We start from the raw sequence: 16,823 nt of genomic DNA on the forward strand, positions 1-16,823 counted from the left end.
TCTACGGTGGCTGAAAATTTGGTAACTGCAATAATGTGGAAGATAGTAACTGTACTTTATGGATCCAGTGGTCTAGCTAAGGAATTATCAAAGCAGAACATTCAAAGTGACAGCTGCTTCTAATAACTTCTGATAAAGAACAAGAAACTAGAGATTAATTGAAGAAAAAAGTTTAGCTTATGAGCAGAATTTAGAAGAGATACAGAGAGCCCAGGATGATTCCTTCTAGGCAACAAATGCTTCTCAAAGGAAGACATGGCCTCAAGACAAAGACTAAATTTAGGACAGTAGGGTGTGGCCTCAGGGCAAAGATGAAGTCAAGGTTGTGCACATAAGATCTGTTACAGCACAGAAAGATTTAAAGGCATGTCTTGCAGACCCTCTTTGATAGAGAAAGAATTTCTAAGAACTCAACAGCACTGTCTTACAGTATCCTCATAGATAACTGAAGGTAGAGAAGAGTCTGTCTCAGAAACATGAGTGGCTTTTGTTAACCACAGTGAGTATCAATAATATTCACATAAACCCACAAAATTATTTAGAAATTCTGCTTTTGGAAGCACTGTGTAAGCTCAGACTGAAGGGGACAAACATAGTGCAAAAGAGAAGAGCCCTTGAGCACACCAAGCTTTGGTGCAAGGAAGCAGGCTGACAATGCTATTCCTGGTTGGATTTTAGAATTTCTAGGGACCAATGACTGCTATCTGCTTCCCATCTTCCTTGTTTTCGAAAAGGTGTCCCAAAGGTTGTTTCACCATTGTATTTTGCACATATGGAAAACAAATAACTAATTTTTTTTTTTACTCATAGGTCTTCAGATTGAGAATAACTGTACTCAAAGACCTGTAGATGAGAAAACCCATCTGCACGGCCTGACTTTGTTATCATATTAAACTCTGAGCTAATGTCATAATGAGATGAGGCTTTCAGAAGGTGTGAGTGTATTTTGCATATGGGAGGAATGAAGATAATTTTTGGTCAGAGGGCAGACTATGGCAGATTTAGGACAGATGCAAATTCTTTGACGCCCTTCCCATTGAGAGGTGGGTTCTGTTTGCCCTCCCTTTGAATCCAGGTTGGGCTGTGACTGCTTTGACTAATAGAATACGGCAGAAGTGATACTGTGCTAGTTCTGAGATCAGCTTTTAAGAGTACAAGCTGCTTTCACCTTAGCATCTGTGAGCCCCGGGCCATCACATAAGAAGTCAGACTATCCTGCCAGAAAGAGTACATAGAATAGCCCTGAAACCACATAAAGAGGGAGAGGGGCCCAGCTAAGCTGTACTTGCCAAGATAGCAGTGAAGCTTTTTGGGACCCTTCAGACCAGCCTAGCTGCCGGCTGACCAACACTTACTGATCTCTGAGATAAAGGCACACGAATTAGGAAAAATCACATTAGACAAGTCTTGACTCAATTCCTGGCACATAAAATCATGGTATGAAACGGTTGGTGTTTCAACACTAAGTTTTGGGGTGACTTGTTAGGCAGTCATAAAAAAAAGACCAATAGCTAAAAATATAAAAATACTGAACCTAATTTGAGATAATTACCCAAACATATACAAATTTTGATAATCTGTTTATAAAGCTTGTGAAATTTAAGTTTTTACTAAATCAAATATAGCTCATTTTGACTCATTAGAACATACCTTCTAAATTTCCTTCCAGTTTCAATGACATCTGTGGAGATGCCTCACTGAACTCGGGACTTTTTGTCTCAACAGGAGAATCAACAATAGCTGATGGGTTTATTTCATGTGAAATACATTGTACTTTTTTTTCTCCAGTAATTAAGGGTTTGTACTTTTCCCCTTCGGGAGAAATCTCTGTGAAAACAAAAAATAAAAAATCATGCTAGTTCTCAAAATGATGCATTTTATCTGTAATGGCATTGGGGGCAAAGTTCAAAAAGCTGCATTACTGCAACAGGCAATTACTAGTTAAGCTCTGTTACATATTAGAAGTTAATAAGTGACTACAGTATATGAAAGTCAAATTTCATTTCAATTGTACATAATAATTTCTATGGTGGTCAAAATGGTTTACCTTCTTTCTGCTTTTGGTAAAATTAATATGTGTATTAGAATACTATTTTTTAAATTATTAACTAGTTGATTCTGTTTATATGAAGTAACTCCTAGTTACTTCTAATTGCTCTGAAATTCTCCACACTAAGGAGAGAGGAGGTTTACCTCAGAACATCCTGAGACAGGTTCAAAAAAGAATAAAAAGAAAAAAAAACTACCTCAGAATAGCTTAATGCAGTTATTTACCACCTTCTCACTCCTATTAATCCGTTGAAGATTTTACTTTCCAGGTTACAAGCTCCCCAACACTAACTCTGTCATAACTAATTTAGGTGATTTCTATATTTGTATCAATAATCCTTCCAAAAGGTAGGCCTCTTGGTTTGTTGCACTTCACTCTACCTCAGTCTTCATCCTATCTCCAGCACTCCAATGGTCATATCTTAGAGAACTTGTCATTAATTATAGCCTCTTTAAATTTCCAGTGTTAAGTATTCCACCCTCTAATCTCTAACACTCATTTTCCACTTCTCCGCCTCTACAACTCCAACTCTAAAAAAATTTTACCCTGAAAGTACCTACAATGCACTGATTCTGCTACATTTTCTGTCATCTCCATTAAAATTCACAGAAATTCCATAATATAGTCATTCTCTTGTGCATCCTCAACTTATTGTATTCAAGTGGCAAAACCCCAATTTTGCATAAATTCAATTCTCTGCCTACTATATCTGCATACACAGGGTTAAAATGGTTGAAGAAAAACAGAAATCCTTGCTCATTGGTCTCAATTTAAATTCATTGTTTCTAAAGCCAAGTAGGCCCTTTGTGTTGGCTGCAGTCCTTTTATAACACTGGGCTAGCAGGAACTGTCCTTAGCTCAGTTAATTTCCAGAGCAAAAAAGTTGTTCATCAAGTATTTATAAGTTGTTTTACTCTTTACTTCTTTCTAGTCAACAGAGAACAAAACTATAGTGTTGCAAATGTTTCAGAATCATTTCCCTGCACTGTACTTCAACAAACTGCTTGCCAAAACAAACTGACTGTAGCAGAGATCACATCTGTGTTTTTCCTCCTTCAGCCCTACCATTCTGCAATAAAATCATGTCTATTAACACCAGGAATCAGGATACCATATCGCATTATTATTATTATTAAAGATTGCTTTAGTGGGTTCTAACAGAAGAATAGGAAATAATCAAAATATAGGATAAAAATCTATTTCTTGTCACTGATGATAAATCTGCACATTTGGAACATCTAATATCTCAAGGAAGAAAGCTTAATAGATTTAGTAAAAATAATCAGTACAGCGTCCAGATATAAAATTTTCTATCTATATATAGAAAGAAATAGGGGAAGGAAGAGGAGGAGGTTAGGGTATCTTTTTTTTTTTTTTTTTTTTTGTTAGAGACCTGAGTTTTGCTCTGTCACCCAGTGCGGTGGCGTGATCTCAGCTCACTGCAACCTCCACCTCCCGGGTTCAAGCAATTCTCCTGCCTCAGCCTCCCTAGTAGCTGGGATTACAGGCGCACGGCACTATGCCTGGCTAATTTTTTATATTTTTAGTAGAGACAGCATTTCGCCATGTTGGCTAGGCTGGCCTCAAACTCCTGACCTGAAATGACCTGCCTCAGCCTCCCAAAGTGCTGGGATTACAGGCATGAGCTACCACACCCGGCTGGATAGCTATACTAGATAAAAATTCTTAAAACATAGCAAAAAGCAATGAAATATAAAAAAGGGCAGAGAATATAAACAGGCAATTTTCAAAGCAGCAAATCAAAATAGTCAATAGAATGCAACATAATGAAATTCACTCACAATCAGAAAAGGAAAAATAAAACCAATGAAATATATACCACACAAAAATGGTAAAAAATTTTTTTAAAGGGATATTACCTTTCAGGCTGTTTGATATTTAAAAATCAATCAATGCAATTTGCAACATTAATATAATAAAAGAGAAATTATACTATTATATTAATTGATTTGGAAAATGGGTTTGGAGAGAGCTTCAGCATGGCTGACCACAGACACCTGGCACTTGTCTGTTCCACAAAGAAGTACAAAACAGCAAGTAGATAATAACACATTGAATAGAGCATCTGAAAGAGAACACAGGAATTCAGCCGCAAAGGGATGGGGAACCTCTGAGGCATGGAAGGAGAGGGAAGCGAAACAGTTGGCCTGGCTAGGACTGGCTAGAAGCCAGGAGAAACACCACAGATTGACCTGCCTGAATGCAGGAAAATGGTAAGAGAGATCCCCAGTGCTCCATGTTCTCACCATGGACTCCTGCAAGCCTAGCCATGGCTCCTCAGCCCTCAAGCGCCCTGAGACTAGTAGAGGAAGCTGCCTGGAGTCAAAGTGATGCATTATTCTAGAGAGGAAGTTTGTGCTGGATCTCACACAGCATCCTGAGACCCAAGCAGCTGCAACATGGTGCCACTTTGAGAACCCAATCCCTACCAGATAACAACCTGCCCCAGGGCTCAACAGGCCCTGAATCTCCACACCCCTGGAGCCCTACTGACATTTACTCCATGTCCACCTATAGATTTGCAACCTTGTGACATGAGCTGGACTCAACTGTGCAGCCAGGTCCCTAGTCCTCTAGCCCACATACAGTCCTACACCACAGGAAATGGGTGGTGCAGCACATTAGGAAGGCTGCCCCTGGGAAAAAGGGAGCTGAAGCATGTGCTCCCCAGAGCCTGGGAGCTGCCTTCCTGGAGTTGCTGGTACTGACAGCAACCCTGCCTCCCCTAGCACCTGGGTGAATGTGCACTTGTGTGCACCTTCAGGAGCAAGGAGATAGGCATGCTTGGGTGCCATCCTAGAGCCTGAGGTCAGGCCTGGCCCACTCACTGATGCCACCACCTGAGAATGCTACCTGGTAGCTGGGAGATCGATCTGCCCCATGCATCAGAGCTGGCACTAGCAAGCATGTCATCCAGGACTGGAGATCAACCCACCATGCCTGCTGATGCAGGTGCCTGCACACACAGTCAGGGGGCCTGAGGACAGGCCCTCCTGCCTACCACCACCACCACTGATTTCTGAGTGTGCAGTCTGGGGTCCTGGGGGTAGACCTACTGTGCTAAGCACAACCTGTGCCTGACAGCACCATCACAGGGCTTGAAGACAGACCCACCCTGCCCTGCTACTGCCTTGGCAAAGGCCTGTGAGCATCATCCAGGGGCACAGGGATCAATTTGCCATGCCTATTGCTGCTAGTGCCTGTATAAGCTTTCCAGGGGCTTGGGAAAGGGCCCACCCAGCCTGCCAGCACCCACACACATCATCTAGGGTCTAGAGATCAACCAGTCCTGCCCAACATAAACTGCCTGCACATGCACCACACAGGGGCCCAAGTATAGGCCTGCTCTACCTGGCGATGCCCCCAATAGTGCTATGTGTATTGTCCAGAGGTCTGGAGATCTACCCACCTCTGTCCGCCACCACAGACACCCAAACATACCTTCCAGAGGGCCCTGAGACCCAACCTGCAGCCACTGCCACCATCCACCTGCACTAAAGGCCTGGAGACTAGCCCTCTCAGTTCACCACCACCACTGCTGGTGCCCATGAGTGCTGATGATGGACCCAGGGACTAGCCCTGCCCACCTGGCCCACCACTGCTACTGCTGGCACCCAAGTAAGCCATGTGGAGGCCCAAGGATTACCTGGACCCACTATCACCAGTGCCTGAACACCATCTGGGGGGCCAAGTACCTGCATTCTCAGCATGCTGCCAAGACTGGGGCCTGAGGACTGGCTCAACTGGCTCCCTGTCCACGGTAAATCCTTACCAGAGTCTCCACTAACAATCATAACCTAAGACACACAGGAATTCACAGATACCACTGACACTGATTACAGCCAAAGAAATCATATGAAGACTGCACTACTCTGCCCACCCAGAATCAAAGCCAAAACACCCTACTCAACCAACACTATGGATACATATACGGGAAAAAGTCTTTGCCTACGAAAGTCAATCCGTAAAATCGGAAGAAGTGATTATTACAATAGATGCACAGATATCAATATAAGGACACAAGAAACATGAAAAGTAAGGAAACATGATACCTCCAAAAGAACACGGTAATTCTCCAACAAGATTCCAACAAAAATAAATCTACAAAATGCCTAAAACAATTCAAAGTAAAATTAAAGCTAAGTGAGGTATAGGAGAACACAGATAAATAATACAAAGAAATCAGAAAAACAATTCATGGTCTCAATGAGAAATTCAACATAGATATCATTAAAGATAACCAAACAGGGCCAGATGCTATGACTCACAAATGTAATCCTAGTGTTTTAGAAAAGGAAGGCAGAAGGACCGCTTGCAGCCAGGAGTTGGAGACCAGCCTGGGCAACACAGTGAGATACTGTCTCTACAGGAAATTCTTTAAAAAGTAAGTCAGGTGTGGTGGCATGTGCCTATAGCCATAGCTAGTCTGGAAGATAAGGTGGAAGGATCTCCTGAGTCCAGGATTTGAGGCTGTAGTGAGCTATGATTGCACCAATGTACTCTAGCCTGGATGGCAGACAGCCTGTCTCTAACCAAGTAAAAATATTTTATCTATCTATCTATCTATCTATCTATCTATCTATCTATCTATCTATCTATCTCATAATTTGAGACCAGCCTGGGCAACATGGCAAAACTCTGTCTCTACACAAAATAAACAAAATTAGCCAAGCATGGTGTCAAAAGCCTGTAGTCCCATCTACTTGGGAGGCTGAGATGGGAGGATCCCTTGAACCCAGGAGGTCAAGGCTGCAGTAAGCTGTGATCACAGCACTGCCACTGCACTCCAGCCTGGGTGACAGAGCCCTGTCTCAAAAACAAACAAATTAACTAACAAATAAAACCCCAAACCCCCCCACCCACCACAAAATTCAATGAATTAAATAAAATTACAACTGAGAGCTTCAACAATAGACTAAACAGAAAAAAGAGTTTCTGAATGAAAACAGTTCTTTCGAAATAATCCACTCAGAAAATAAAGAAAAGGATAAAAGAAAAAAAAAGAATGGAAGTCTATGTGACATAAGAGAAATTGTAAAGTGCCCAAATATTCAAATTTTGGGTGTTTCAGAAAAAAAAAGAGATGGGCAAGGACATAGAAAATTTCTCTAACGAAATAACAGCTGAAAATTTCCCAAGCCTTGTAAGAGATATAGACATTCAGATACAGGAAACTTAAAGACACAAAAATATTCAACCCAAAAAGATCTTCCCAAGGCACATTACAATCAGACAGTTAAAAGTCAAAGAGAATTCTAAAAACAGAAAGAAAAGAGCATCAAATTACATATAAGGGCACCCCCAACAGACTAACAATGGCTTTCTCAGCAGAAAACTTATAAGATAGGAGAAAACGGGATGATATATTCAAAGTGCTGAGAAAACAAAAACAAAACCAAAAACAAACCAACAACAAACTGTCAGCCAAGAATACTATACCCACCAAAGCTATCCTTCAAAAATGAAGGAGAAATAAAGTCTTTCCCAAAGAAGCAAAAACTGGGAGAATTCAACAGCAGACTGATCCTATAAGAAATGCTTAAGAGAGCACTACATGTGGAAATAAAAGGACAGTATCTAACACCATGCAAGCACATTAAAGTATAAAACCTGACAGAGCACATTCACAAACAAAAGAGAAAAAGGAGTCAAATGTTATAGAAAATAACCAAACTGCAATGAAACAATAAAAGAGAAAGAAAAGAACAACAAATATACAAAACATCCAAAAACCAATTAACAAAATGACTAGAGTTAAGTCCTCACCTATCAATAATAACCTCTAATATAAATGAAATAAATTAATCATTTAGAAGATACAGGTTGGCTGAATGGTTAAAAAAAAATGACCAAACTACATGCTGCCTACAATAAACTCATTACATATATAGACTGAAAATGAAGAAACAGAAAAAGATATTCCATGCAAATGGAAACAAAAAAAGAGTGGGAGAAGGCATACACTTATATCAGATAAGACATATTTTAACCCAAAAGCTGTAAAAAAAGACAAAGAAGGTCATTACATAATGATGAAGGGAAAAATTAAATGAGCAGATCTAACAATTATAAATAGATGTGCACTCAACAGCAGAACCCCTAGATATATAAAGCAACTACAGGGAGAGATAGACTCCAATATAATAAGAGTTGTGGACTTCAACGCCCCATGGACAGCACTGGACAGATAATCTAGACTGAAAATTAACAAAGAAACATTTGATTTAAACTGCACTTTAGACCAAATGGACGTAACAGACATCTACAGAACACATCCAACAGCAGCAGAATATACATTCTTCTCATCAGCACATGCAACATTCTCCAGGACAGGCCACATGGTAGGCTACAAAACAAATCTCAACAAATTAAAACGTAACTACTTCATATCAAGTACCTTCTCAGACCACAACTGAAGAAAACTAGAAATCAATCACGAGAGGAACTTTGGAAACTGTACATATACATGGAATTTAAGCAACATGCTCCTGAGCAAACATTGAGTCAACGAAGAAATTAAGAAGGAAATAAATGGATTTCATGAAACAAATGGGGACAGAAACACAACAAACCAAAATCTATGGGAAACAGCAAAAGCAGTGCTGAGAGTTTATAGCAATAAACACCCATATCACAAAAGGGCCAGAAGCTCATGGCTGTAATTTCAATATTTTGGGAGGCTGATGTAGGAGAATCCTTGAGGCCAGGAGTTAGAGATCGGCCTGGGCAACAAAGTGAGACCCTGTCACTACTGAAACAAAAACAAAAACAAAAAATAGCTGGTCATGGTGGCTGCCTGTAGTACTAGTTCCTCAGGAGGCTAAGGTGAGAGGATTGCTTGAGCCCAGGAGTTTAAGGTTATAGCAAGCTACAACTGCACTACTGTACTCCAACATGGGCGACAGAGTGAGACCCTGTTTATAAAAAAAAGAGACAGATTTCAAATAAATAATGTAATGATGTATTTCAAGGAACTAGAAAAGCAAAAAAAGGTCAAATCCAAAATTAGTAAAAGCAGCAACATGGATGGAGCTGGAGGCCATTATCCTAAGTGAACTAACTCAGAAACAGAAAATCAAGTACTACATGTTCTCACTTATAAGTGGAACCTAAATAATTGGTACACATGGACACAAAGGTGAAAATAATAAGATGATGAGGACTCCAAAAGGAAGGAAGGAGGGAGTGGGGAGAAGGCAAAAAAAAACAAAACAAAACTATCAGGTACTATCATCACTATTTGAGTGATGGGTTCAACAGAAGCCCAAATCTCAGCATTATGCGATATACCCATGTAACAAACATGCACATGCACCCACTAAACTTAAAACAAAACAACTATATACATATATATATATATATACACACACACACACACACACATGCACAAAATGGACCATTATTCAGCCATAAAAAGAATGAAATCTTATTTTTTTGCAGTAAGATGGATAGAACTGGAGGTCATTATCCATATAGAGAAATACACATTGCATGTTTCTGACTTATAGGTGGGAGCTAAAAAAATTGATCTCATGGAAGTAGAGAGCAGAATGGTGCTTATCAGAAGCTGGAAAGTGTGGCTGGTTAATGCATACAAAATACAGTTAAATAGAATAAAATTCTAGTGTTTAAAATAGTACAGTAGGATGACTACAGTTAATGAAAAAAAGCAAAACTAGTAGAAGAAATAATAATCAAGCAGAACAAAATCAAACAGACACTAAAAAAATCAACAAAAGTTGGCGTTTTGAAAAGATAAACAAAATTGAAAAACCACTAACGAGACTAAGAGAAAAAGAGTGAAGACCCAAATAAAGAAAATAAAAAACAAAGAGCCATTACAACAAATACTACAGAAATGCAAAGTACCATGTGAAACTATTATGAACAACTATATGTTAACAAATTGGAAAACCTAGAGGTAATAGACAAATTCCTGCACACAGACAACCTCCCAAAATAACTACAATAAATATCAAATTCTTCAACACCCAGACACCGATGAACACCCATAACATCAAGACCACCCAGGAAAATATGACCTCACCAAATAACTAAATAAGGTACCAGACACCAATCCCAGAAAGACAGAGATATATGACCTTTCAGACAGAAAATTCAAAATAGCTGTTTTAAGGAAACTCAATGAAATTCAAAATAACAGAAAAAATTCAGAATCTTACCAGATACATTTAACAAAAAGATTGAAATAATTAAAAAGAATCAAGCAGAAATTCTGGAGCTGAGAAATGCAACTGGCATACTGATGAATGCATAAGAGTCCTTTAATAGCAGAACACATCAAAAGAAGAAAGAATTAGCGAGCTTGAAGACAGGCTGCTTGAAAATACATAGTGAGAGGAGACAAAAAACAATTGAAAATACATAGTCAGAGGAGACAAAAAACAAAGGAAAAAGAATAAGGAATACCTACAAGATCTAAAAAACAGACTCAGAAGGGCAAATCTAAGAGTGATTCGTTGTAACGAGGAAGTAGAGAGACCGGGGTACAAAGTTTATTCAAAGGGATAATGTCAGAGAACTTCCTGAACCTAGAAAAAGATACCAATATTCAACTACAAGAAGGTTATAGAACACCAAGCAGATGTAATCCAAGGAAGACTACCTCAAGACATTTACTAATCAAACTCCAAAAGGTCAAAGACAAACAAAGGAGAAAAGCAGCAGCAGACTTTGTGTCTGGCAGCAGACTTTTCAGCAAAAATCTTACTGGCCAGGAGAGAGTGACAGGACATATTTAAAGTACTGAAGGAAAAAAACTTTTATCCTAAAATAGTATATCCAGAGAAAATATCCTTCAAACATAATGAAGAAATAAAGACTACCAGACAAACAAAAGCTGAGGGATTTCATCAACACAAGACCTGTCCCATAAGAAATGCTAAAAGGAGTTCTTTAATATGAAAGAATAGGACAATAATGAGTAATAAGAAATCATCTGAAGGTGTAAAATTCACCAGTAATAGTAAGTATACAGAAAAACACAGAATATTAGAACACTGTAATTGTGGTGTGTAAGCTACTCATATCTTGAGTAGAAAGACTAAAAGATGAACTGATTGAAAATAAAAATTATTCACGCCTGTAATCCCAGCATTTTGGGAGGTGAAGGCGGGTGGATCACTTGAGGTGAGAAGTTTGAGACCAGCCTGGCCAACATGCTAAAATCCCATCTCTATTAAAAATACAAAAAAATTAGCCAGGTGTGGTGGCACACACCTGTGATCCAGACTAGTCGGGAGGCTGAGGCAGGAGAATCACTTGAACCCGGGAGGTGGAGGCTGCAGTGAGCCGAGATCGTGCCACTGCACTCCAGCCCGGGCAACGGAGTGAGACTCTGTCTCAAAAAATAAAATGAAATAAAATAAATAAACATTATGTGAGGTGTGATGGCTTATGCCTGTAATCCTAGAACTTTGGAAGGCTGAGGTGGGAGGATTGCTGGAACCCAGGAATTTGAAACCAGCCTGGGCAACATGCAACATGAAACCAGCCTGGGCAACAGGCAAAACCCTTTCTCTACAAAAAAAAAATACAAAAAAATTTAGCCATGTGTGGTGGCTACAAGCAGTGGGACATGCTTGTAGTCCCAGCTGCTTGGGAGGCTGATGTGAGATCACCTGAGCCAGAAGGTGGAAGTTGTAGTAAGCTGAGATTGTGCCACTGCCCTCCAGCCTGGGTGACAGAGTGAGTCCCTGTCTCAAGAAAAAAAAAATTACAACTTTTTGAGAGACAATACAGTAAGATACAAATAGAAACAAAAAGTTGAAAAGTGAGGGACAAAGTTAGAGTCTTTATTAGTTTTTTATTTGCTTGTTTGGTATCTGTTTTTGCAATCACTGTTGTCATCAGTTTAAAATAGTGGGTTATAAGATAGTATTTATACCTCATAGTACCCTCAAAAATAAAAAATCATACAACAGATACGCAAAAAAATAAAAAGCAAGAAATTAAAACATACCACTAAAGAAATCACCTTCTCTAAAATGAAGATATGAAGGAAGGAAGGAAGAGAAGTCCACAAAACAACCAGAAAACAAATAACAAAATGGCAGAATTAAGTCTTTACTTGTAATAATCCCATTGAATGTAAATGGAATAAACTCTCCAATCAAAAGACAGAGAGTGGCTGAATAGATTAAAAAAGAAGACTCAACAGGAGTTCCAAGATGGCGGAATAGGAACAGCTCCAGTCTACAGCTTCCAGCGTGCTTGATGGAGAAGATGGGTGATTTCTGCATTTCCAACTGAGGTACCTGGTTCATCTCAATGGGACTGGTTGGACAGTGGGTGCAGCCCACGGAGGGTGAGCCGAAGCAGGGTGGGGCATCACCTCACCTGGGAAGCGCAATGAGTCGGGGGATTTCCCTTTCCTAGCCAAGGGAAGCCGTGACAGACTACCTGGAAACACGGGACACTCCCCACCCAAATACTGTGCTTTTCCCAAGGTCTTAGCAACCGGCAGACTAGGTGATTCTCTCCTGTGCCTGGCTCGGCAGGTCCCACGCCCACAGAGCCTTGCTCACTGCTAGCCCAGCAGTCTGAGATGGATCTGCCAGGCAGCAGCCTGACTCGGGGAGGGGCATCCGCCATTGCTGAGGCTTGAGTAGGTAAACAAAGCTGCCCAGAAGTTCAAAATGGGCGGAGCCCACCGCAGCTCAACAAGGCCTACCGCCTCAGTAGTCTCCACCTCTGTGGGCAGGGCATAGCTGAACAAAAGGCAGCAGACAATTTCTGCAGACTTAAACGACCCTGTCTAACAGCTCTGAAGAGAGCAGTGGTTCTCCCAGCATGGTGCTTGAGCTCTGAGAAAAGATAGACTGCCTCCTCAACTGGGTCCCTGACCCCCACGCAGCCTAACTGGGAGACATCTCCCAGTAGGGGCTGACTGACACCTCATATAGGTGGCTGCCACTCTGGGACAAAGCTTCCAGAGGAAGGATCAGGCAGCAATATTTGCTGTTCTTCAATATTTGCTGTTCTGCAGCCTCCACTGGTGGTACCCAGGCAAACAGGGTCTGGAGTGGAACTCCAGCAAACTCTAACAGATCTGCAGCTGAGGGACCTGACTATTAAAGGAAAACTAACAGTAAGGAATAGCATCAACATCAACAAAAAGGTAATCTACACCAAAACCCCACCTGGAGGTCACCAACATCAAAGACTAAAGGTAGATAAAACCACAAAGATGGGGAGAAACCAAAGCAGAAAAGCTGAATATTCTAAAAATCAGAGCACCTCCTCTCCTCCAAAGAATCACAGCTCCTTGCCAGCAACAGAACAAAGCTGGACAGAGAATGACTTTGACAAGTTGACAGAAGTAGGCTTCAGAAGGTCGGTAATAACAAACTTCTCCTAGCTGAAGGAGGATGTTTGAACTCATAGCAAGGAAGCTAAAAACCTTGAAGAAAGATTAGAAGAATGGCTAACTATAATAAACAGTGTAGAGAAGAACTTCAATGACCTGATGGAGCTGAAAACCATGGCATGAGAACTTCGTGACACATGCATGAGCTTAAATAGCTGATTCGATCAAGTGGAAGAAAGGGTATCAGTGATTGAAGATCAAATGAATGAAATAAAGCGAGAAGAGAAGTTTAGAGAAAAAAGAGTAAAAAGAAACGAACAAGGCCTCCAAGAAATATGACACTATGTGAAAAGACCAAATCTACGTCTGATTGGTGTACCTGAAAGTGATGGGGAGAATGGAACCAAGTTGGAAAACACTCTCCAGGATATTATCCAGGAGAACTTCCCCAACCTGGCAAGGCAGGCCAACATTCAAATTCAGGAAATACAGAGAACACCACAAAGATACTCCTCTAGAAGAGCAACCCCAAGACACATAATTGTCAGATTCACCAAGGTTGAAATGAAGGAAAAAGTATTAAGGGCAGCCAGAGAGAAAGGTCGAGTTACCCACAAAGGGAAGCCCATCAGACTAACAGCAGATCTCTCGGCAGAAATCCTACAAGCCAGAAGACAGTGGGGGCCATTATTCAACATTCTTCAAGGAAAGAATTTTCAACCCAGAATTTGATATCCAGCCAAACTAAGTTTCATAAGTGAAGCAGAAATAAAATCCTTTACAGACAAGAAAATGCTGAGGGATTACAAGAGCTCCTGAAGGAAGCACTAAACATGGAAAGGAAAAACTGGTACCAGCCACTGCAAAAACAGGCCAAATTATAAAGACCACTGATGCTATGAAGAAACTGCATCAATTAATGGGCAAAATAAACAGTGAACATCATAATGACAGGATCAAATTCACACATAACAATATTAACCTTAAATATAAATGGGCTAAATGCCCCAATTAAAAGACACAGACTGGCAAATTGGTGTGCTGTATTTAGGAGACCCATCTCACGTGCAAAGATGCACATAGGCTCAAAATAAAGGAATGGAGGAAGATCTACCAAGCAAATGGAAAGCAAAAAAAAGCGGGGGTTGCCATCCTAGTCTCTGATAAAACAGACTTTAAAGCAACAAAGATCAAAAGAGACAAAGAAGGCCATTACATAATGGTAAAGGGATCAATGCAACAAGAAGAGCTAACTATCTTAAATATATATGCACCCAATACAGGAGGACCCAGATTCATAAAGCAAGTTCTTAGATACCTACAAAGAGACTTAGACTCCCACACAATAATAATGGGAGACTTTAACACCCAACTGTCAATATTAGACAGATCAACGAGAAAAAAGGTTAACAAGGATATCCAGGACCTGAACTCAGCTCTGCAATAAGCAGACCTAATAGACATCTACAGAACTCTCCACCCCAAATCAACAGAATATACATTCTTCTCAGCACCACATAGCCCTTATTCTAAAATTGACCACATAATTGGAAGTAAAGCACTCCTCAGCAAATGTAAAATAACAGAAATCACAACAAACTGTCTCTCAGACCACAGTGCAATCAAATTAGAACTCAGGATTAAGAAACTCACTCAAAACCGCACAACTACATAGAAACTGAACAACTTGCTCCTGAATGACTACTGGGTAAATAAAAAAATGAAGGCAGAAATAAAGATGTTCTTTGAAACCAATGAGAACAAAGACACAACATACCAGAATCCCTGGGACACATTTAAAGCAGTGTGTAGAGGGAAATTTATAGCACTAAATGCCCACAAGAGAAAGCAGGAAAGATCTAAAATTGACACCCTAACATCACAATTAAAAGAACTAGAGAAGCAAGAGCAAACAAATTCAAAAGCTAGCAGAAGGTGAGAAATAACTAAGATCAGAGCAGAACTGAAGGAGATAGACACAAAAACCCTTCAAAAAATCAATGAATCCAGGAGATGGTTTTTTGAAAAGATCAACAAAATTGATAGACCACTAGCAAGACTAATAAAGAAGAAAAGACAGAAGAATCAAATAGATGCCATAAAAAATGATAAAGGGGATATCACCACCAATCCCACAGAAATACAAACTACCTTCAGAGAATACTATAAACACCTCTATGCAGATAAACTAGAAAATACAGAAGAAATGCATACATTCCTGGACACGTACTTACATAATTACTACCTGGAGACTTTAACAATATACTCTCCCAAGACTAAACCAGGAAGAAGTTGAATCCCTGAATAGACCAATAACAGGCTCTGAAATTGAGGCAATAATTAATAGCTTACCAACCAAAAGAAGTCCAGGACCAGATGGATTCACAGCTGAATTCTACCAGAGGTACAAAGAGGAGCTGGTACCATTCCTTCTGAAACTATTCCAATCAATAGAAAAAGAGGGAATCCTCCCTAACGCATTTTATGAGGCCAACATCATCCTGATACCAAAGACTGGCAGAGACACAACCAGATAATTTTAGACCAATATCCCTGATGAACGTCGATGCGAAAATCCTCAGTAAAATACTGGCAAACTGAATCCAGCAGCATATCAAAAAGCTTATCCACCATGATCAAGTTGGCTTCATCCCTGGGATGCAAGTCTGGTTCAACGTACACAAATCAATAAACGTAATCCATCACATAAACAGAACCAACAACAAAAACCACATGATTATCTCAATAGATGCAGAGAAGGCCTTCAACAAAATTCAACAGCCCTTCATGCTAAAAACTCTCAATACACTAGGTATTGACAGAACATATCTCAAAATAATAAGAACTATTTATGACAAACCCACAGCCAGTATCATACTGAATGGGCAAAAACTGGAAGCATTCCCTTTGAAAACTGGCACAAGACAAGGATGCCCTCTCTCACCACTCCTATTCAACATAGTGTTGGAAGTTCTGGCCAGGGCAATGAGGCAAGAGAAAGAAATAAAGAGTATTCAGTTAGGAAAAGAGGAAGTCAAATTGTCCCTGTTTGCAGATGACATGATTGTATATTTAAAACCCTATCGTCTCAGCCCCAAATTTCCTTAAGCTGATAAGCAACTTCAGCAAAGTCTCAGGATACAAAATCAATGTGCAAAAATCACAAGCATTCCTATACACCATTAACAGACACACACAGAGCCAAATCATGAGTGAACTCCCATTCACAATAGCTACAAAGAGAATAAAATACCTAGGAATTCAACTTACAAGGGATGTGAAGGACATCTTCAAGAAGAACTACAAACCACTGCTCAACGAAATAAAAGAGGACACAAACAAATGGAAGAATATTCCATGCTCATGGATAGGAAGAATCAATATCGTGAAAATGGACACACTGCCCAAAGTAATTTATAGATT

At 40.0% G+C, this 16,823-nt stretch overlaps 1 protein-coding gene across 21 annotated transcripts in view, besides 2 other annotated features; it reads right to left on the reverse strand.

Annotated features, from left to right (window-relative positions):
• NEK1 (NIMA related kinase 1) overlaps nt 1–16,823 on the reverse strand; it is a 219,775-nt gene that overhangs the window by 43,624 nt on the left and 159,328 nt on the right. For 15 of the 21 annotated variants that reach the window (NR_164630.1, NM_001440625.1, NM_001440624.1 and 12 more), the window contains one exon: nt 1,651–1,827. The exons of the other annotated variants lie outside the window; for them this stretch is intronic. Coding sequence is in view for 14 of the 15 variants with exons in the window: in NM_001440625.1 (NP_001427554.1) it covers nt 1,651–1,827 (177 nt within the window). In the remaining variant the exon portion in view is untranslated. The remainder of the gene's footprint in view (nt 1–1,650; nt 1,828–16,823) is intronic. 21 annotated transcript variants of the gene reach the window in all.
• Nucleotides 1,101–1,150: a silencer, noted in NCBI's record as "silent region_15793". NCBI's record gives its function as "represses an Ori minimal core promoter by ATAC-STARR-seq in GM12878 lymphoblastoid cells {active_cell/tissue: GM12878}" and the evidence as "EXISTENCE:reporter gene assay evidence [ECO:0000049][PMID:35858748]".
• Nucleotides 1,701–1,760: a silencer, noted in NCBI's record as "silent region_15794". NCBI's record gives its function as "represses an Ori minimal core promoter by ATAC-STARR-seq in GM12878 lymphoblastoid cells {active_cell/tissue: GM12878}" and the evidence as "EXISTENCE:reporter gene assay evidence [ECO:0000049][PMID:35858748]".

This window comes from Homo sapiens, chromosome 4 (genome assembly GCF_000001405.40).
Source record: "Homo sapiens chromosome 4, GRCh38.p14 Primary Assembly".
NCBI classification, from domain to species: Eukaryota; Metazoa; Chordata; class Mammalia; order Primates; family Hominidae; genus Homo; species Homo sapiens.